Source organism: Homo sapiens, chromosome 1 (assembly GCF_000001405.40).
Source record: "Homo sapiens chromosome 1, GRCh38.p14 Primary Assembly".
NCBI classification, from domain to species: Eukaryota; Metazoa; Chordata; class Mammalia; order Primates; family Hominidae; genus Homo; species Homo sapiens.
The window spans coordinates 87,088,973-87,111,301 of NC_000001.11; the positions used below are offsets into that span (position 1 = coordinate 87,088,973).

Consider the following 22,329-nt stretch of genomic DNA (forward strand, 5'->3'; position numbering starts at 1 on the left):
TTGTTGCCTAAGTAGAGAAGTTAAATTTAGTATGAAGCAGAAAGATTTCAAAACATAATGATTCCCAAAGGCCATTCAGCCCTCTTTCAGGTTCATCACCTCCTTTTTTGACTTTTTCCAGCCAGTTGACAAGGTTCCTTACAAATGTTCTGAGTGTGCAGTTGATCTTTTAACCATTATTGTTGTTCATTTGCATATTGATACTGTTCACTTGATAGGCTATTGATAGAATGTAATTGTAAAAAAATGAGCCTAGTTTATGTTCTTGCTTTGTCACACTTCGTATGCTGACATGGCAAGAATGAAATTCCTAAAATATCTTTTTACCAACCTGCTGCTCAGATTATATCTTTTCGTTTCTGATTTTCATCTGCAGATTCCTACCAAATATGCTCTTCTTTTCCCAGGAAGATCGTGTTCTAACAGGTCAACAGTAGTTTATTTTCTGCTAGTAGAAATGGGTTTTTATTCTTCTACCTGAGCTTTGTTGAGAAATAGCTGAAATGATTGACCAGAGTTAAAGGTGAGGTCTGACCACAGACTTCCTATATAAACTAGCTCCTATAGAAACTAGCTGGTTGGCAAAAGAGTAAAACCAGCAAACCTCGTTAGCTCTTGTTTTCTAACTGGCTGAGCTGTGTGGTCCAGTTGCTATTTTTAATCATGCCCATTATCTGTTATAATCCCTTGCCTCCAGCCCTTCGTGTCTATATAACTGTTCCCTAAGTTACATATCATAGTTCATATCCATTTTCAAAATGAGTTCACAGATTATATCTCATTAAAATCATACTTCCTAATAAATGCCACCCAAAGCCATTCCACACATAGATAGTCATTTTCCTGGACAGCAAAAAGAGTTTTGTAAAATGCCATATTCCCTTTTACTGCTGCCTGGTAATTGCTGTCTGCTCCACATGTCAGGGACTAGGGGAAAGGAGGAAACATTGGTAGGAGATGTTCTTCTGCGAGGAGATTATTCTCAAAGGAATGGCTCAGGATGGAGCAGTGGCTAATAATGGAGAGGATAGAGAGGATTCCCAGGAATCTCAGTCTTAAGAATGGAATCACTAACCCATTGTCCTGTAATCTCTCCTTGTAGTTTCCTATTAAAAACCTCTCAGCTCTGTGAGCTAAGGGAGCAGCAATATATTGCTGTTGCCTCCTTACTTTCTTACTACTCAGTGTACTCTCTGGCAGGAAGGCTTTTGTTAGTGGCTAATTCACAACGGTCTCCTCAACCTAATTCTATTAATATTCAGCACCTGTGTGTTGGGCACAGTGCTGAGCATTAGTGATAAAGCCATGAACAAGAGAGAAATGGTCCCTGCCCCGGTGGAACTTCTACTCTAATACCGAATGTGACAGTGCTATGTATTTGCAACAGTACTGTCCTTCTTTTAAAAAAAACTGTGAAAGAAAATTTTACTGCACTATTGGTACTATGCCTACCCTCAGGTGACTTATAATGCTGTTGGGGAGAAAGACTTACAGGAGAAACACTAGTAGGATAAGCTAAGAGTTAAGTTGCTTGATAGCTCTTAGGTGCAGGATGTGTCAAATGAAAGCACATAGAACTGTATGCTAGAGTCATCAGGAAGAGAGGTCACAAGATTTTGTTGTAGCCCCTCTGTTTATTCCAAAACAGCAGCCAATGACCTTTTAATATGAGTTGTGTCATGGTAATTCTCTTTTTAAATCTTTCAGTGGCCTCCCTCCTGACTCTGTATAAAGTAATGCTTGTAACAGTATAGAAGACCCACACAGTCTGCACTCACTCCACCTCACCCCCACCTCTCTTATCTTCCATGGTATTCCCTTTTTGATTCTACAGGCAGCTTGATCTCCTTGCTGTTCCTCAAAACACCTGGCACTTAGCTGCCTCAAGGACCTCTTAGTTGGAAATCCCATCTTTCCAGAACACTTTCTCACAGATGTTTGCATGGTACCTTCCTCATTACATAAGACTAGTGATGTCTTCCCAAAAAACACAATTTTGAATTGTATTCTCCCTCACCTCCCTAGCACTCCTTATTCCCTTTCACTGAATTATTTTTCTCCTTTGCACTTTTTACCATCTGTTATATATGCTTATTTGTTTATTGCCTATCTGTCCCAAGTAGAATGTTAGCTCTAGAAGGACAAGAAATTTAGTCTTTTTGTTCATTGCTGTATTCCTAGTACCTAGAATAGTATTATATCTGGCAATATTGGGTTCATACAAAAAGTATTTTTGAAGGAATTAATGTAGAAAAAAGAAAAATGAGAGCGGCACTCAAGGAAGACAGAATAAGCAAAGATATATAAAGAGAAATAGAATAAGTATTGATATGGGAGGAGATAAAAGAGGCCAACCTAACTATAACAGATAAATGGTTTCTTGTTTGAGGAGAGTTAAAGAAAAAGTTAGATCAATAAGGTGGTACCTAAGACATAAGGTAAAAGAATCCTAAGACAACCAGCAAAGGAGTTTGGGTTTCATATCGATAAATCAGTAGAGTTATTTCAGATTCCTAAGAAGAGTGATTTAACAAATGATGTTTAGGAACATCCTTTGAGAATTGGTATGGAAGATAGATTGAAAGGGAGAGAAACTGAATGTTAGAAAACTATATTCTTGCAGTAATCTAAGCAAGCACTGAGAAAAAGGGAAGTGGTAAAGAGAAAGAATGATGAAGACAGGTCACATCTGCGAGAAAGCTTACAAAACAAATCAAAATGACTTTGAAATTTTATTAAATGAAGAATAATGGAAAAGTAAGAATCAAGATAGCTGTAACATTTTAAGACTGGGACAAGGGTGTATAATAAAACAGGGAGCCAGTTGTACAGTTCTAGGGTTTGCAAGGGTTGCTAAAGTAAAATTCTTCAGTGTTCCATCAACTCTTTATCATTCCCTAAGGAAATAATGCTGAAAACCTAGTGTCTTTCACCTCTATCTTGTCTTTAAAATCAGCAACAGAAGGTAGATTGACATGTTCACACTTGTGTTCACTAATGCTGTATCCATTGATGGTGTTCAAAAAACACTATCAAATCTGGCTAGTGTGATGAGCCAGAAGTGAGAAATCATTGCTACATAGTTAATGCAGATTTGAAACTTTCTGTAGCAGCAGATGATTTATTCAGGAATGTAATAAAGCAATTTTTAAAATAAGTTTGCTTAAAAATTATAAATATTAAATTCTTTCCTAGTAATATGTGGGTACTAATTTGAGAGGGGATTTTCTACTTGGACTTAAAGTATAATGAAGGCATAGAAATAAAATGTTTTATATAATTCTTGCTGGTAAAGTTTAAAATTATTTTTCATTCATTTTTATCTCCTTTATCTTCAGACATAGTTTTTAAATTCATATTTCTTGTTTACTTTATTCTGACATGAATAATCATGAAATAGTTCCCAATCGCCACATACACATACACAAATTATTTAAATTAATTCATGTTCTTTTTTCCTTATAGGACCAGTACTTCAGACTTAAACATGTAATTTCAGGGCACTCCTAAACAGATTGAAAATGTTGATTTCACCTTTGAAATTTTGTTGTATTTCAGATTTGGTGTGAAGAAGAAACCAATTTACATTAATGTCATAAGGGATCCTATTGAGAGGCTAGTTTCTTATTATTACTTTCTGAGATTTGGAGATGATTATAGACCAGGGTTACGGAGACGAAAACAAGGAGACAAAAAGGTAATATTTTAGTTTTAAGATTTTTATAAAGATAATTGTTTATGAACTGCAGTGAGCAATGTGCTTTTAAAATTTGTTGTTAATTATAAATTTATTACTTGCTTATTGTGGAAATTTTGAAGAGAACCCAAAATATAAAGAAGCAAAATGAAGAAAATTATATAGCTGATATATTGTAATATACATTTTTTTGTGATTTTTAAAAATATTTCTTTTCCAGGGCGGAATCGTGTTTTCTTTATGGTTCTATTAACAATTTTCTGTGCGATTATTGTAATTATTCACTAATATGATATATTTTTGTGTATTTTTTGGTTCTCTAAGTATTGATGGCAGTTTATATTTGTGATCATCAGTTTAAGGACACTATTTTGCTGAAGCAGCTATTTTTTTCTGGCAAGAAGAGAATAATGGCTCAACAAAGTTCTTAACAGGCTCAAATTTGGGTTGTCTTCCATTTCACTGCATTTTCTAGAGTATCACCAGAGTTACATTTCTAAGAAATCAAACTGATTTGTCACTTCTCTGGTGGAAAACCTTTACTGGGACTTCATGCTCATGGATTAAGACATAGGAGACACAACTGGACACGATCTCAGACCTAGCTCTCCTGTCTGATTTTCCTTTAGGTGTCCAGTGCTTCGGCCACATGAAATGTCACCATCCTCTGAACTTATTGCTTAAGTTATTAATGCTTCATACTTTTTTACACATGTATTATTCCCTATATTGAGAATGCCTTTCCTTTACTCTGGAAAACTCTTTATCCACCTTTAAGATCTAGCTCAAACATGACCACTTCCGTAAAGTCTTTTCTGATGCCTCCAGGCAGTGAGTCATATCTCTTTCAGGGCTCCCAGAGCACTTCATTCAAAGCTCTCTTTTAAGCATTTATTTTGTGATATTTGGATTACCAGTTTACCTACTGTCTTTTCCAAAATGTGGTGAATTTCCTGAAGCATATATTTAATTCATCTTCGTTTCCTCAGAATTTAGCATCATACCTAGGTTACCCGTAAGTGCTTAACAAATGGTTGAATGTGTGAATTCTGCACATTTTAAACCTAAACTATTACACAGTAGTGATGCCAGATACTTGGTATGTTAATGATAATTAACATCCAACAGTATTTTTTTCTAAGTTAGTTATACCCTCTGTGTCACATGATGGGGGCAGTGGTTTTTTGTTTTGTTTTCCTTTTTAATGATTTCTAGAAATTGCTGTTTCTTTAGTCTCAAAGCTTTAGGCAGAAGATACTGATCCAAACACAGATAACTAACCAAATCTGTTTTCTTAAATAATGCTATCTCTCAGCATTATTTAATCTTCTAGAAATATTTATTGTGGAGATTCTGCGAAGTTTTATAAAATCTATTAGTATAACTCTTATGACTTACTACTTTAGAATTTATTGATATTTATTTCTAAATTCACTTGTGCGCTTTCTTTTTATTTTTTATTTTAGCCCTACTTACACTAACTCTTGACTCAGTAAATGTTAGTATCTGTCTCCCTCCTTTGACCAAAGTAATATTAGCGTCGGTGTTGGAAAGGAAAAGATTGCAGTCATGTAGGCCCCTATATCCATCATTTATCATTGTCAGCCCTGGATAGCATGGTTTTGTGGTTCCTAGCCTGTGTAGTTTGGGGGATTGGGTAATAATAACTAATAATAATTATTAACAGTAATAATAGCTCACATTTACTGTGCACCATACCAAGCAGTGTTTTAAGTTATTTTATATGTATTTTTTCAGGTAGCTTGCGCAACAATTTTATGGGGTAGTTGCTGTTATTGTCCTCATTTTACAGAAAAGGAAACTGTGGGGCACAGAAAGGCTAAGTATTTTGCACGGTGTCATTCAGCTAGTAAATGGTAGAGCTGGAATTTAAAACCAAGCACTCTAATTCCAGAGCCCATACATCTTACATCCTTTGAAAAGAAGAGAAGAAATGCAACATGTCACTCGACATTTTTCTGTGAAACGTGATCCAAAGTTGCATATTCAATATTCACAAAAAAATCCAGGCAGCATTTTAACATCATCTCCCTTTCATGTTTGAAAGTTTTAGGTAGATAGGCCATCCTGGAGCTTTATCTGTTCTTCACCCTGACTATAATAAGGCCTGGGGTTTTGTTTTTTTATTTTTTAACTTCGTTATAAAATACACATTAATATGCCTGCTTATCTAGATGTAGTGTTGATAACATCAGCAAAATACTATTGCATTGTCTTACTTCTTATGAGGACAGGGCTGTCTGTAAATAATTGATTTATAAAAATAAGAAATTACTTTGTTTTGTGCTAGACAGAATGTACCTTTTCAGTCTTGAAACATATTGGTGATTAGACATTTTTAGTAATTTGGCTTGTTTCTTATGATACACATGTTGGTAACCTAATGCTGATACCCTAATGAGTTAAGTGGTGTTTATTGCAAATAACTCCTTAATATCTTTAACTAGCAGGAGTTTTCATTAAACTCATCTGTAAAGTTGATAAGACTGCATACATATAACATTTCTAAAGCTGGACAGGTTTTAGAAAGATATTGGGTGTTAAAGGGTGGCCATGATTATGTTGGAAATACCTTGTAATGGCGCTTATTCTCAAAAATGTGTAGATAGCTTTATTTCTATAAAATTCTAGATTCTTTGCACCTCAAGTGATATTTTGAGGTGTATTAAACAGTATTCAGTTCAGCACTTATGGCAACTATTATGTTTTAAACTGACGTACTCTAGTAATCTGAACTGCTCCGTGGTTACACTTCAAACACATTTTAGATATATGTGCACCTGCACCTAGGATAGCTTTCACTTGATCTTGTAAAGAATGGAAGGCTTTTGATTTGGGAGATTTCAAATTTGCATATTTTAGAACTAGAGTTTTATTTAATTTAACCTTTGCCCAGTACCTGGGAAAATAGGGATATTAAGTAATCCAAAGATGAGCATTGAATAACTATATCAATCAAATCAGTGGTTCTCAAACTTTTTGATATAGGAACTCCTTTTATACTCTTAAAAATTATTAAGGATTGCCCAAAGAGCTTTTGTTTTGTTTTGTTTTGTTTTGGGTTATATCTATTGATATTTACCAATATCAGTAAATTTGCCATTTACTGAAAAAATTTTAAAATATTAAAACAATAGTAAAGCCATCATGTTAACATAAATTATATTTTAATGCACATAACTATTTCTCCTCCGACAAAAAAATGAAAAGAGTGGCATCGGTTTACATTTTTGCAAATCTTTTTATCATCTGGCTTACTATAGACAGCCGGTTTTCTTTTTTTTTTTTTTTCATTTTCTGTTTTTTTGTTTTGTTTTGTTTTGAACCCTGAGAAGCTAGACAGCTGATTTTCATATTTGCTCCTGAATTCAATTTGTTCGAAATGTTCTTTTGGTTGAATTGAGGAAATCCAGCTTCACACAGATATATAATTAGAAAAGAGAGGATTTTAATAGCTTTTCAAAAAATTGCGGCTATTCTTTAATAAACACTAAAACTTGACAAGTGGTAGTTTCAAAAGTTAGTTGCAATGTAGAATCTGAAACCATAGCAGTGAACTTTTTATACTTTGCTACATTAAAATCTATTGATATGTTTTACACTTTGAATGAATCTTTTAACCAAGCATAATTTTGAAACATCATACATTGGTCATTTGGAACATACTGGTTCACTGAGTTATGTGGACTTTTCAAATGTTAACATATTTTGTTATACAGCGTTAAAAACTCATATACATTAATATCACCACTAATCTCATCAGAAAAGTCTTTAAGTATTGGGAGACTGTCAAGCTTATGGTGGCAGATACAAGTTTTCCAAAATTTTATTTTTTGCTTGAAAGCTTAATTTTTATCATTGGCCTATCACAGGATTTCTCAACCTCAACATTATTGTTGTTTTGGGCCAGATAATTCTTTGTTGTGGGGGGCTTCTTATACATTGTAGGATGTTTACCAGCATCTCTTACTTCTACCTGGTAGCATCCCCCATACCTCAGCTGTGAGAACGAGAATTGCCTTCAAACATTGCCAAATATCACCTGAGGGTCAGAATAGCTTCCAGCTGAGAACCCGTGGGATATCAACACTGTCAGTTTTTCCTTCAAGTGACAGGCATAATTTATTCATTTTGAGAAAATATCACCAAATACTCAAATTCAAATAGCTATAGTTTGGGATATGGTAGGTGCATGGATATATAAGGTTTTATTTCTTATTTCTTCTTATGAGCTACAAAATCTGGCACAAATGATAATAAAACCACTTTTTAGAAAATGGCCTAGGCTGGCAAATCTAAGACCATCTAGAAAAATTCAGAAATAATATCAAATGCCTCATGAAAATATTTTATTTCCTCTGTCTTCACCTCCACTAGAGCTATGCCTTTAATACCCATGTAAATCCCCAAGGTGCAGTCTTTTCAGTAGTCATTTACAAATATTAATAGTGCAAGTGGTTTATATAGCACTATTCTATATGCTCTGGAGGACACAAATGCTACTGCTTGATCCACAAATGCTACTTCAGGAAGTTTTCACTGTAGTTGGAAAGACAGAACATAACACATAACACATTTAAAAAGCATATGAAACAAGTTATGTAGATAAAGATATAGACAGACAGATCAACCTATCCTAAGATTCTAAACCAGATCCTAAGAGCTGCCTGTTACAAGGCAGTATGTGATTTTGTTTTGTTTTGTTTTGTTTTTGTTTTTTTTGAGACGGAGTCTTGCTCTGTCGCCAGGCTGGAGTGCAGTGTCTCCATCTCGGCTCACTGCAGCTTCCACCTCCTGGGTTCAAGCGATTCTCCCGCCTCAGCCTCCTGAGTAGCTGGGACTACAGGCGCGTGCTACCACGCCCAGCTAATTTTTCTATTTTTAGGAGAGATGGGGTTTCACCATGTTAACTAGGACGGTCTCGATTTCTTGACCTCGCGATCTGCCCGCCTCGGCCTCCCAAAGTGCTGGGATTAAAGGTGTGAGCCACCGTGCCCAACTGTGATTAATTTACATGACTCCAAAAAAAATAAGAGTGTCTCATCCCACCTACTCTGGCCCATTTATTTAATAATTTACCACATTAGATATTTGATAGGTGAGACTTGGATTTATGGCTTACCCGTGCTGCTTTGTCTTTGTTCTAGACCTTTGATGAATGTGTAGCAGAAGGTGGCTCAGACTGTGCTCCAGAGAAGCTCTGGCTTCAAATCCCGTTCTTCTGTGGCCATAGCTCCGAATGCTGGTAGGGGAGATAAAGTTGGCTCAGATTGATTATCATCCTTATTATCTCTGTAATCTGTGTTTCATTTCACAAGGGCTAGATATAGGGAAATCGGTGAAAGACTAGACTAAAAATAACATGTAATTCAGTAATATCTAGTTTTGCAGTTACTTTTAAATGCATTTAAAAGATTCCTCATGTAGAGTGATATCCTAATATCCTTGCATTGTTTTCTGAGATGCCGGTTTTTAGTATTTCTTATTTTTGGTGTTATGTTTTGCTGTATTCCAGCAGAGCTCTTAGAGACTGGGGGTGGGGGTGGGTGTCATAAATCTTATTTTGTCCAAAGCTTACTGTTTTAGCTATTCATGTTAAATTAAGAAAAGGCTTAGTGGGTTAAAATTCACCTGGTTTTACTGTTAAACTGATTTTGACTTTAAGAGAAGCCAAGGTTATGGCTGTGGTTTAGTTTGCTAGTAAATATCAAGTGGAAAATAAAGATACTTTAATAAGAACTGTATTTCCTCAGAATGTGTTGAGTTTTCAGTTTTTAAAAATAATTTTACGTATTTATTTGTTCTATTCAATCATTTTAATAGGAGAAGTAGGAGAAAAAAGGAACATATTCAAAGTTTCTTCCATAAACCATAATGAGAAATACAAGGAATGTCTTCATTATTTGAGATAATATTATTAGATTGCTGTGGAGTTTAAGGTCCTACTCATTAGATTACATCAAAGCCTCATAATAGTATAAGAATTGGAAGCCTATAAAGAATGCCTTCTCAATTTTTAACCATTTCTTTAGAACAGGGATTGGCAAACTACAGGTTGTATCCTGCAGACCCAGTTTGGCCTTTCACCTGTTTTATTTTTTATTTTTTTGAGACAGAATCTCACTCTATCACACAAGCTGGAGTGCAGGGGCACAATCTTGGCTCACTGCAACCTCCGCCTCCTGGGTTCACAATTCTTCTGTCTCAGCCTCCCGAATAGCTGGGACTACAGGTGCCTGCACTACCCTGGCTAATTTTTGTATTTTTAGTAGAGATGGGGTTTCACCATGTTGGCCAGGCTGGTCTCGAACTCCTGACCTCAAGGGATCCACCTGCCTCGGCCTCCCAAAGTGCTGGGATTACAGGCATGAGCCACCGTGCCCAGCTGTGTCACCTGTTTTATAAATAAAGTTTTATTGAAACACAGCCACATACATTTTTTTACTTATTGCTTGTGGCTGTTTTCACACTGCAGCAGCAGAGTTGAGTAATTGTAACCTAAACCATGTGTATTAGCTGTTCTTGCATTACTGTAAAGTACTACCTGAGACTGGGTAATTTATAAAGAAAAGAGGTTTAATTGGCTCACTGTTCTGCAGGATGTACAAGCATGGCACCAACAAGGGCCTCAGGAAGCTTACACTCGTGGCAGAAGGTGACGCAGGAACAGGCATATCACATGGTGGGAGCAAGAAAGTGGGCAGTAGGGGTGGGGGTATGGTTCCCAGACTTTCAAACAACCAGATCTTACGTGAACTGAGCGAGAGCTCAGTTATCACCAAGGGGATGGCACTAAACCATTCATGACAGATCTGCTCCCATGAGCCAATCACCTCCCACCAGGCCCTACCTCCAGCATTGGGAATCACATTTCAACATGAGATTTGGAGGGAACAAACATCCAAACCATATTATTCTGCCCCTGGCTCACCAAATCTCATGTCTTTCTTATATTTCAAAATATATTCATCCCTTCACAGTAGTCCCAAAGTCTTATTCCAGCATTAACTCAAAAGTCCCAAGTCCAAAATCTCATCTGGAGATGAGTTCCTTCTACCTATGAGCCTGTGAGATAAAAAACAAGTTATTTATTCCCAGTAACAATGGTGGTATAGGCATTGGATAAACATTTCCCTTCCAAAAGGGAGAAATTGGCCAAAAGAAAGGCGCAGTAGGCCCCACACAAGTCTAAAACCCAGCAGGGCAGTCATTAAATCTTAAAGCTCCAACATAATCCTTGACTTCATCTCCTGCATCCTGGTGCAAGGGGTGGGCTCCCAAGGCCTTGAGCAGCCCTGCCCCCATGGCTTTGCAGGGTACAGCCCACATGGCTGCTCTCATGGGTTGGAATTGAGTGTACCTGTAGTTTTTCCAGGCAAAGCGTGCAAGCCGATGGTGAGCCAACCATTCTGGGGTCTGGAGGGCATAATCACCTTCCCACAGCTCCACTAGGCAGTTCCCTGTTTGAGTCTTTGTGTGGGGTGAGGGCTGCAGTGCAACCCAGTTCTGAAATCTAGGTGGAATCTGCAATCTAGGTGGAATGCAAGCTCCTTCATGCTTGCATTCTGAGCATCTGCAGACTTAACACCACCTGGAAACCACCAATGTTTACAGTTTATGCTCCCCCAGAGTGGTGGCCCAAGCTATACCTGGACTCCTTTGAGCTGAGGCTGGAACTGGAGTGGCCGGGATGTGGGGAGCAATGTCCCAAGGCTTCTCAGGGCAGCAGGACCCTGGGCCTGCCCCCTTAAATCATTCTTCCCCCCAAGGCTTCTGGGCCTGTGATGGGAGGGGCAGCCTGGAAGATCTCTGAAATGCCTTTGAGGCCTTTTTCCCATTGTCTTGGATATTAGCAGTTGGCTCCCTTTTAGTCATGCTAACCTCCTTAATAAGTGATTGCTCCACAGTGTTATTAAATTCCTTCCCTATTCCCTGCCCTATTCCCTGGAAAATAGGCTTTCCAGTGGGAGTGGTTGCTCATGCCTGTAATTCCAGCACTTTGGAAGACCAAAGTGGGAGGATCACTTGAGCCCAGAAATTTGAGACTAGCCTGGGCAACCTCATCTCTACAAAACATAAAGTTAGCCAGGTGTGGTGGCATATGCCCATAGTCCCAGCTACTTGGGAGGCTAAGGTAGGAAGAACACATGAGTCCAGGAGGTTAAGGCTGCAGTGAGCCAAGATCCAGCCTGGGTAACAGAGCAAGACCCTGTCTTTAAAACAAAAAACAACAAAAAGAGGGGGCTTTCCTTCTCTACCACATGGCCAGGCTGTGAATTTTCCAAATGTTTATGCTCTGCCTCCCTTTAAAATGTAAGTTCCAACTTTAAGTCATTCCTTTGCTCTTGCATTTGATTGTAGCCTCTTAGACACAGCCAGGCCACATCTTAAATGCTTTGCTGCTTAGAAATTTATTCTGCCAGATGTCCTAAGTCATCACTTTTGTGTGTGTGTGTGTGTTTTTTGTTTTTTTTTTTTTTTTTTTTTTTTTTTTTGAGGCAGTCTCACTCTGTCAGCCAGGCTGGAGTGCAGTGGCACGATCTCGGTTCACTGCAACCTCCGCCTCCCGGGCTCAGGCAATTCTCCTGCCTCAGCCTCCTGAGTAGCTGGGATTACAGGCGTGTGCCACCATGCCCAGCTAATTTTTGTATTTTTAGTAAAGATGGGGTTTCGCTATGTTGGCCAGGCTGGTCTCGAACTCCAGACCTCAGGTAATCCGCCTGTCTCGGCCTCCCAAAGTGCTGGGATTACAGGTGTGAGCCACCGCACCCGACCAGTCATCACTCTAAGTTCAAACTTCCATAGATCTCTAGAACTTGGACACCACATAGCCAAGTTCTTTGCTAAGGCATAACACAGGTGACCTTTACTCCAGTTCTCAGTAACTTCTTCATTTCCCTCTGAGACCTCATCAGCCTGGACTTCTGTCCATATTTCTGTCAGCATTTTTATCACAATCATTAAACCAGTCTCGACTTAAGAAATTTCAAAGTTTCCCTCTTCTTCCTGTCTTCTTCTGAGCCCTTCAAATTCTTCCAACCGCTGCCCATTACCCAGTTCCAAAGCCACTTTCCCATTTTCAGGTATCTTTATAGCAACACCCAACTCCTTAGTACCAATTTTCTCTATTAGGCCATTCTTACATTACTGTGAAGGAATACCTGAGATGGTAATTTATAATGAAAAAAGGTTTACTTGGCTCATGGTTCTGCAGGCTGTGCAAGCATGGCACCAACATCTGTTTGGCTTATGATGCAGGCCTCAGGAAGCTTACAATCATGGCAGAAAGTGAAGTGCGAGCAGGCACATCATATGGCAAGAGTGGGAGAAAGAGAGTGAAGGGGGAGGACCCAGTCGTTTATTATTATTATTATTATTATTTTTGAGACAAAGTTTTGCTCTTGTCGCCCAGGCTGGAGTGCAATGGTGTGATCTCGGCTCACCGCAAACCTCCACCTCCCAGGTTCAAGCAATTCTCCTGCCTCAGCCTCCTGAGTAGCTGGGAATATAGGCATGCACCACCATGCCCAGCTGATTTTGTATTTTTAGTAGAGATGGGGTTTCTCCATGTTGGTCGGGCTGGTCTTGAACTCCCAACCTGAGGTGACCCGCCCACCTTGGCCTCCCAAAGTGCTGGGATTACAGGTGTGAGCCACCGCACCAGGCCCCCAGTCTTTTAAATAACTAGATCTCTAATGAACTAACTGAGCCAAGAACTCAGTCATCACCAAGGGGATGGTGCTAAACCATTCACAAGGGACCTGCTCCCATGATCCAGTTACCTCCCACCAAGCCCAGCCTCCAACACTGGGAATCACATTTCAGAATGAGAGTTAGAGGGAACAAATATCCAAACCATATCACTATGTAGTCTGCAAAACCTAAAATATTTATCCTCTGGCCTTTTATATAAAAAGTTTGCCAATCCCTGCCTTAGAACAATAAAGACTTGCTCTATTGGGCATTTTTGAGAAGTTAATTGTATTTCTTTAGTATGTTTCATAGATTCACAGAACTGGGAGGGTTCTTAGAAACCAATTAATCACTGTTCCCCTCCCCCTCTTTGTTTTTTTTAATAGTTTGAGAAAACAAAATTGAGAAAGGTGAAGCCACCAGCTCAAGATCATACTGCTACTTAAATGCAGAGCTAGAATTTGGATTAAGGAATATTTGTGCTAAAAAGAACCCAAAAGTATAGTTTATTTTGGATCAAATCTCTGTTAATAGCATTAGCTGACAATGTAAATTAAAATAAAAATAAAAGATTCTTAGCAGAGCCATTATCTATTTTCTGTTCCTCAGAAATTTCAGAAAACACTTAGCTCACAAAAACCCGAAACTCACACAATAAGCAGTAAACACAAATTGTTTACACTTTGCTAGAGAGCTCTTAACAGAATTTAGAGTAGTTTAAAAAAGTTAAAACACACACTAAATCATATGGGAGGGGTGTATGTTTCTTATATCCATATACATTTTTAAAGTGCCCTTAAACTAAATTGCTCATGTTAAGAGTCCTCTGGTAAACTCTGAATTAGCACTCATAGTTGAGCAGAAACTGGAGATGGAAGCAAATGAAATTGGAAACAGGTGTGCCTCCCACAGGATGGTAATAAAGAGGCATTGAGGCTTTGGATATACATGTGTTTATCTATTTTCTCTGTAATATATGGTGTCAAAGGCACCAGAAACACTCAGCAGATTTCACAACCAGGTTTTAATTCCTTTTCTTTGGTTTCAGGAATGTGGGAAGCAGGTGGGCTATGGATCAAGCCAAGTATAACCTAATTAATGAATATTTTCTGGTGGGAGTTACTGAAGAACTTGAAGATTTTATCATGTTATTGGAGGCAGCATTGCCCCGGTTTTTCAGGGGTGCTACTGAACTCTATCGCACAGGTATATAAAGGAAGGGTTTCTTTTTAAAGCTTTCTTTGGTTTGGTTTTTTGGTTTGCAACTTGTAAATATGTGATTTGAAGTTTCTTCAGTGAAACACAACAGATAGCTCCAGAAAGGCAGGTATCTTGTCGGTTTCTGCTCACTATTTTCAATTGAGTAACTGTGAATTAGGTGAAAATTAGAAGGCACTGTAGAAATAGTGGAATGATACAAAGTACAGAACCAGCCATAGAAATGTATGGTATTCAATAATGCCAGATATCAAACATTAGGCCTGTGTATAAGTCCTGCCTACTACCATTTTGAAGTAGAGGTGTGATAGGGGAACTGAAGTATGCCTAAGCCATGTTTTAGCAGCCTCAGCCGTATTATCATGTGTCTGAAAGTGATAAGCTAATTGTGTTTTTGTTTTGTTTCGTTTTTTGCTATTGCTTGATAAGATGCAGTCATAGGAACTCTTCTCCTTGAGGATGCATATGCCCTAGCTTCTAACACATAATTTTAGAGAATACAGATTATGAGAAAATAGAATACAGTTTGACAATAGGTATTTTATCAAAAATAAACTAGTCTCAGAGCACCAAGCACTTGAGAATATAGTGTGTGAGGTGACAGCCTACACTTTACTGTGTGCCAATCCTTACATTGACTATTTGACATTTCATTAAGTCTTTACTAGGTTAAGGATTAACATTCTAAAGGACTGAATCATGGCTCTAGTTTGATCAAGGCTCCGTTTTTACCTGAATTATATAAGACAATTATGTTACCTGTTCTTAATGTGTCATATTAACCACCTCTTCAAATAAAGAGGCATTGATCTTTTGTGTGTTCTCCAAGAATTATTTACCTTTCCTTTTTTTCCCCCTTTGTAAGTAGGAAAGAAATCTCATCTTAGGAAAACCACAGAGAAGAAACTCCCCACTAAACAAACCATTGCAAAACTACAGCAATCTGATATTTGGAAAATGGAGAATGAGTTCTATGAATTTGCACTAGAGCAGTTCCAATTCATCAGAGCCCATGCCGTTCGAGAAAAAGATGGAGACCTCTACATCCTCGCACAAAACTTTTTCTATGAAAAGATTTACCCTAAGTCGAACTGAGTATAAGGTGTGACTATTGGATTCTTGAACTAAAATTTGACCCTGTCTTCACCTTTGTTCTCAGCTCCACAGTCTGGATTGCTGACAGTAGGTGTATATGACAATTTGTATTGAGCCAAATTAGGAAACAGACAGTAACGTCAAGGAAGTAGATACTGGCTGGCATTGTCAGTGTTCTAAGTTTCAGGCATTTTTATTTTTCCTGGCTAAACGTTGGTGAAAGTTATAACCTCCTGCCTGGGAGAAAATATACATCACCTAAAATGAACTTATGGCAGGTCTAATCAAAAGGCTAAATACAATTTCAGAAAAGGTTCTGATACTCTTGTTTTTGATAAAGCATTTTTTCAACTAACCATGAATTAAGATGAGTCCATTTGCCTCTTCTGCCTTCACTGAGGGTTTGGGTTATACACCTCTACTGAATTGTGTTAATAACTGTTTGGCAGTGTGTACTTTGTTTTTGTGAGTCATGTCTCATGAAATTTATTGGAATGTTTAATCATATTTGCTAAGAAATGTTTCTGCTGTAGTTGGATTTGCCCATATTTATGTAGGTGGTTTTAATTTTTTAAATGGTGATTAGTGTTAAAAATCAATTTAAATCATGACTAATATGGTAAAAAGATAAAGCATCAAAGCAGTATTTCTCATTCCTGCCTCCTCAATATCTAATACTGGGAAGATACTTCAAAGAATATTGAGATTGTCTGAAGTTTTAGTTAAGATTTTCACACATTAATATCAAAAAAGTAAGTTTAGTATTTGTTTCTCCATGGGTTATTTGTAAAGCTGTAAACTGAGATATCGGTGACTCCGTATTATGACTCCATTAGTGAGCTGTGGTATGGGTAGGATTTTCCTACTTCTTCTGTACTTTTACCTGTAGACTATTTTTACTAAGGTGCTTTATAATGTGTTTTAAAGCATTGCATTTACAAAACAAGGAAAATGCTGTAAATATTGCATATTTTATGTATTTGGACCAAAAGGTTACAAGTAATTAGACAAAAGTGGTTTTGCACCAATTTTATGTCAAGTAAAACCATCAGACCTACTGTTCTTGTATTTCTCATTTAACTTTACTGTTAAGACATCACTGAAATGAACTTCAGTAAGCTTTCAATTTTGATACACAGTTCATTATTCATAACTTGAGGCAGTAATTACAGTGGAATGAGTACTGGACAAGGAGTCAAAAAACTTGATTTCAGGTCCTAGCTCTAGCACTTACAGCTGTGTGATCTTGGGCAAGTCACTTAACCTCTCTTTGCCTCAATTTCCTCATCTTGAAATGAGGATAATAATACCTGCTGTACCTACCTCACAGGGCTGTTGTGAGGATTAAATGAGATGGCATGTGAAAGCACTTTGAAAATTGTAAAGCGCTATGTAAATGTAAGGTATTATAGAAACATCTTTAACATATAGTTTCATACCATTCATTTTTTAACAAAGAAAGGGAAAAGTCTGCTTGTAAGCTGGTTGAAAAAGTTAATCTTGATATAAATTTGTGTTTGATAAATATCCTCTCAGTGTTTTATCTTCCATGTTTCAACAACTATTGAAATATGAAATGCCTGTGAACTCTTAAAGCTTCATGAGCAGCTGCTTGAGTTCAGGAAGTTCACTGTTAGAAATAGGCTTTGTTAGCTGACTAGGGTCAGGGAAACTTTTCTCTTCAAATTTGAAAGCTGTTTCTGTTTTCATTTTACATTATTATTCAGAAATGGTAGCTATTCTATACCTATGGTTTAAGTAAATATTTCTGAATAAGGCTTCACCATACTGTAAGCATTTTAGGTAGATTGCCTTAAAGGTTATGGGAGGGCATGAGGGAACACTTCTTATGAGAAAACATTTATAAACAAAAGAAACATTTATAAACTAAAGAAAAACTAAAAGAATGACAGAACAATCATCTTAGCACCCTTTCCTCACAATAATATAAAAATATTAAAAGAACATAGGCAGGCTTTTTTTAAATTTGGCTTTTTTCTTTCCTTTTTTCAAATTGACTTTTATAGGTATTTCCTGAAAGTGTATACAAATTATTTCCTCGCCCAAAATAAAGCACCACTTCAAGGTGTGGTTTGACATTACATGCTAATGAACAAACCCAGTATGCAAGTTATTCTTGCACCACATGCTCAAATCTTCTTGAGGTGCATTAACTCTTTTAGGTAACTAGAGCAGTACTTGGTGAACTAGATCAGGAGGTCAGTAAACTTTCTGTGGAAGGGCCAGAGAGTAAATATTTTAGGCTTTGCAGCCCATACGGTCTCTGTCACAGCTAGTCAACCCTGCCATTTTACCACAAAAGCAGCAATAGACATTATGTAAACAAATGAGCACAGTTATGTTCCAATAAAACTTTATTTACAAAAACAGATGACATCCCAGATGCAGACCATGGGCAACCAACCATTGCACTGGCCAAATCATTATTTATGGAGAAATCCTCTTTGTGTCTCTACTCTAGATGCCTAAAAGAGTTTATATACTTCTAAAAGCTCCTAACTTATATCCAAAGAATTGCTTTCTGATTCGTGTAGTCTCTCCCACAGATTCATAAACTTTTATGACTTATATTGTTTCCAGGTGGGCATGGTTTATTTCCCAGTTTAACAGTTCAGAATAGGGGCATTTATTTTATCATATTTTAGGGTGGGTTAGGAGTATCCTTTCTGGAGACTGAGAAAGGGGTGTATTTAATTCCATCAGGTCCAGTACAGTACTAGGAGTCATAATACTTTATAATCAATTAAATAAATAGAACCACTGAGACAATAATGTATTTTTTTAAAGTGGCAAATGTGGTTTTCTTTTTTCAGCCTTTGCGCTTTTTCAGTATTTTGACCATAGGGAGATAATTTTTTTATAATACAAAAGTAACCACTTGGAATTTTAAAGATAATGTTATGTGTGTATGTGAAATATATATACATATATATATATATGTTTATTTCCTAAAAGAAGAAAAGATACCTTTCTGTTCAACTTGTATCAACTCCTCTTTTCTAATTGCTGTGAAATGGCAACTGTTGATAAATTATTGTGATTGTTTTAAAATCTAATGGGAAGTAAAATATATTTTGATTTTACCCAGCTTAATCTGTAAAGTAGCACTTAAATATATCTGATAGCAACACTTAAGATATTGCATGGGGATTACTTTCCTATCATCCATATGCATTTGTGCAACTTCAAACATATTGGGTGCTTCTGAATTCCTGATGATTGGATTTAAGCTATTGAAAATTGGATAATTTAAACTTAATGATTTTTATAATTTTCTGATCTTAAAATTTGGTTAATGCCTATAATCTGTTGCTTTTTCTCAATATGTGTCCTATTGGAAATTCCTCAAATCGTTGGTGCCATCAGTGATTTACAAACAATATTTTGATATTGCAGATGACTTGCTTACTGTATTTGCATTGTTAGAAAACAGTTTGTAGACAATGATTCTTTTTTAATAAAATCAAATAATTCTAAAAGTGCTAGAGAATTTAACTAAAAGCTGGTTCCCAAATGCATAGCTGGCATTTTAATTTAAATTCAAATCTACATAGAGAACATCTGTGTAAATCATCTAACTGGATTTTTCCATTGGTCATTCCCAAACACACCTATGGTCCTAGAATCCTTAAGAGAAGCACCCTGTAACCTTTTATGTGGTTTGCCTTTAAGAGGCCCAGGTGCTTCTCCTTTATGATTTGAGTTGGCCTCTTCATAAATTAGTGCTGTTTACTTTCAGAGGAAGCAGAGAAGTTGCTGTTATGTTTTTGCATCCGTTTACCCTATGCAAAGTTGCTGTATGATGCCAACTAAACTACTCTTTAGGCAGCCTTCTGAGGAGAAAAGCAACCCTGTTTCAAATCCACTGCCAATTCAGCTCCTCTGGAGTGGAGCTTTCTGATTTCTTGGAGCAGGAATTTTAGAGATTGAAATGAATGATCATTTAGTCAGATTTATCCTGTAATTTCATGCAGCTTTGTGGCCTTTGCAGTACTATTTATAAAATGGACCCTGATGGTGATGAACTCTTTAGAACGCATTACTGTTAAGCCTGTGTTGAGACATTGATGCTGTCTATCTCATTTTTTAGACAGTTTTTGTAGCTTTCTATTGAGAGTCAGGTATGTGAGCATCTCTGAAGCAGTGTTGAATGTAATTTTCGGAAACATGGATTGTGTATTTTGACTTTTATTTTATAAATACACAGCTCAACAGTGCCTTTTTTTTCCCTCATAGTCCTGTTGGAAGATGCTCACTACTTTCTCTCTTCTCTCTCCCTGCCCTCCCCCACTCCATTCAGTTGATTCATTTATGCAAATTCTGTTTCCAACTTGAAACCATTTTGTCACATCTGTTGGAGAGATAATCACTCCTTTTCCTTAACATTCTGCCAGCTTTCTGATGTTGAAGTGTTTCAGTTGACTACCTGATGCAAAAGCTATAAAATAAACAGTGGGAAGGGGAAAAATTGGTGTCCTGTTTTAATATTTTCTTTTGTAGCCTTGACACTGATGGACATTTTCCAAGCTGACTCAGTGTTCAGTGTCAACTTAACTCTCAGATAGTGTTGCCATCAAGAAAGCATGCAACATCATTGGTTTCTAATGATTTTATGGCTTGTGACAATATTTTATCTGGACTGACATGCCTCTGCTGCTTTTGCTTTGTACTTCATTGCTGGTAATAAAATTTCAGATGGAAAACTTACAAAATATATACTTAATTAGAAGAAAAAAATAGAGAAAGGGCTATTAGAATTAAAAAAATTTGAAAGTAACTTAATCTAACATTTATGGCACAGTTTGGACATATCCATAATTTTTTTTGGGAACACACATTTCTGATTTTTTTTTTCCCCCTTAAAGAAGAAAGTCTCAATTCCATTGATTTTCAATTCTTAGCCACTGGCTCATTGCTTTGAGCAATGCTTGATTGATTCTATTTATATTATATGATATTGGGTTGATAAAATACCAGTTCAATGATGAGTTTTCTTAACAGAATTTGGTTTGTACTTGCAGTGGCTGAACAAAGAGCATGGCTTGAGAATCAAAGGGATCTGCATTTAGCAATGTGATGTCAGTAAATGGACATAACAGGATTGTTGTAAAGGTTGGGCATGATGTATGCAAAGTACTGGCCAGGGTAGACTAATAACTGATGGCATTTATATGCTGTGCTGGAATATTGTTACCAAGCTGATGTGCCGTTCTCACCCTGCAGAATACTGGTTTTGTCATTTCATAAATGATATTTTTATAAATATTTTTGAATGACTGTACTTTTTACTGATTATCTTAATACCGCCTCACTTATGTACCTGTAGCATAAATATTCCTGGTTCTGATTCTTGCTGTTCTTTCCACATACAAATCACTCATTTGTACAGATTAAAGGGGGGAAACGCTGACTGTTCTAAAGAAGATAGGACTTGCTTATTCCAGAAATGACTGAGTTCATATCTTAGTATATTTGAACAGTAAGGACTGCTAAATAGTACACACATAAAATTCAGGATCACAGGAATGAAATGATTTGCACTCTTTGAACAGAAAGGACAGCAGCAGTGTAAGGAATAGGCTCTCAAGCTAAAAACTGAGAACATGAAAACCTCTGAGGACCTGACTGCAGTTGTCAAGAAAAGTAGAGATAAGGTTGGGGAGAAGCAGACAGATCTCAGGGCCAGAAACGCCAACATTTGGTGACAGGTGGGATATAATCAATAAATGGGGAATGAAGGCATTAACTTGGGTTTGTAACACAATGCATCTGTGCAAATTTTCAGCACCCCTTGCTTTTGCCTCAATTAGGCAATGATGATTACTTCCTGTGTCAAAGCTTATAAAACAGACTAGTGTTTTCCCAAAGAACATAGGATCACAAAGAAAGAATTCACTGTCTCCCTATCAGATGTTTGGCTTCCTTGCCTCTTTTGCTCTTCCAGATTTTGTGACCTGGGTTAGAGTTTAGAAAGAACCCCCTAGAAACTTTTCTGATGTTCTCTGGTTTGATGATGAAGGCGTCTAATAAAACACATCAACTCTAAGCCTCTACCTCTACTTCTCTAAACCTGAAGTTTAGAAATGAAAGTCATGCCTGGAAATGTTTCACATCATTAGCACTGACAGCGTTTACAGGGAAATAGAGAAAACGTATATGGATTAATTTTCTTTTAGATCAAGGGTGTGGGCAACTAGATTTCTAGAGCCTTCAGCCTGTCTATCGGTGATGCTGGAAAAGGAAGAGGATGAGCTGTAAGTGCAGTAACTGACCCCTGTCTAGGTTTTCTTGCTAAATACGCCCTCCATGAAACAGACAACATAAGTATTTTGAACTGTAAGAATGTTAAGAAATTTCTGTCCCTGAGCAGCAGATCGAAGAGTGATTATTCTGGGATTCTAGAATCAGTTCATTCTTTTCTTTCTCCCTCTCCCTCCGCTCTCCTTTCTTTCCAGTTTAAAATCACTCAGTCTCTTAGTAGAAATTTAACATCAAAGAACTGTCAAACTTGCTAATTTGTGATTTTTTAAGCATGTGCCGCCTTAAACTATCAAAGCTTTAACCTGTATCTAATTAAATGTTAA

The 22,329-nt window shown here is 37.1% G+C and overlaps 1 protein-coding gene across 2 annotated transcripts in view; it reads left to right on the top strand.

Annotated features, from left to right (window-relative positions):
• The window catches only part of HS2ST1 (heparan sulfate 2-O-sulfotransferase 1), a 195,348-nt gene extending 174,338 nt beyond the window's left edge, over window positions 1-21,010 (top strand). Inside the window, exons 4-7 of one of the 2 annotated variants that reach the window (NM_012262.4) lie at window positions 3,559-3,697; window positions 8,866-8,963; window positions 14,460-14,617; window positions 15,498-21,010. In NM_012262.4, coding sequence (NP_036394.1) covers window positions 3,559-3,697; window positions 8,866-8,963; window positions 14,460-14,617; window positions 15,498-15,724 — 622 coding nt within the window. In that variant the 3' untranslated portion in view covers window positions 15,725-21,010. Of the gene's footprint in view, window positions 1-3,558; window positions 3,698-8,865; window positions 9,474-14,459; window positions 14,618-15,497 lie in introns of those variants that run through there. The other variant, NM_001134492.2, reaches the window with a different exon arrangement.
• The last annotated feature ends 1,319 nt before the right edge of the window (window positions 21,011-22,329 follow it).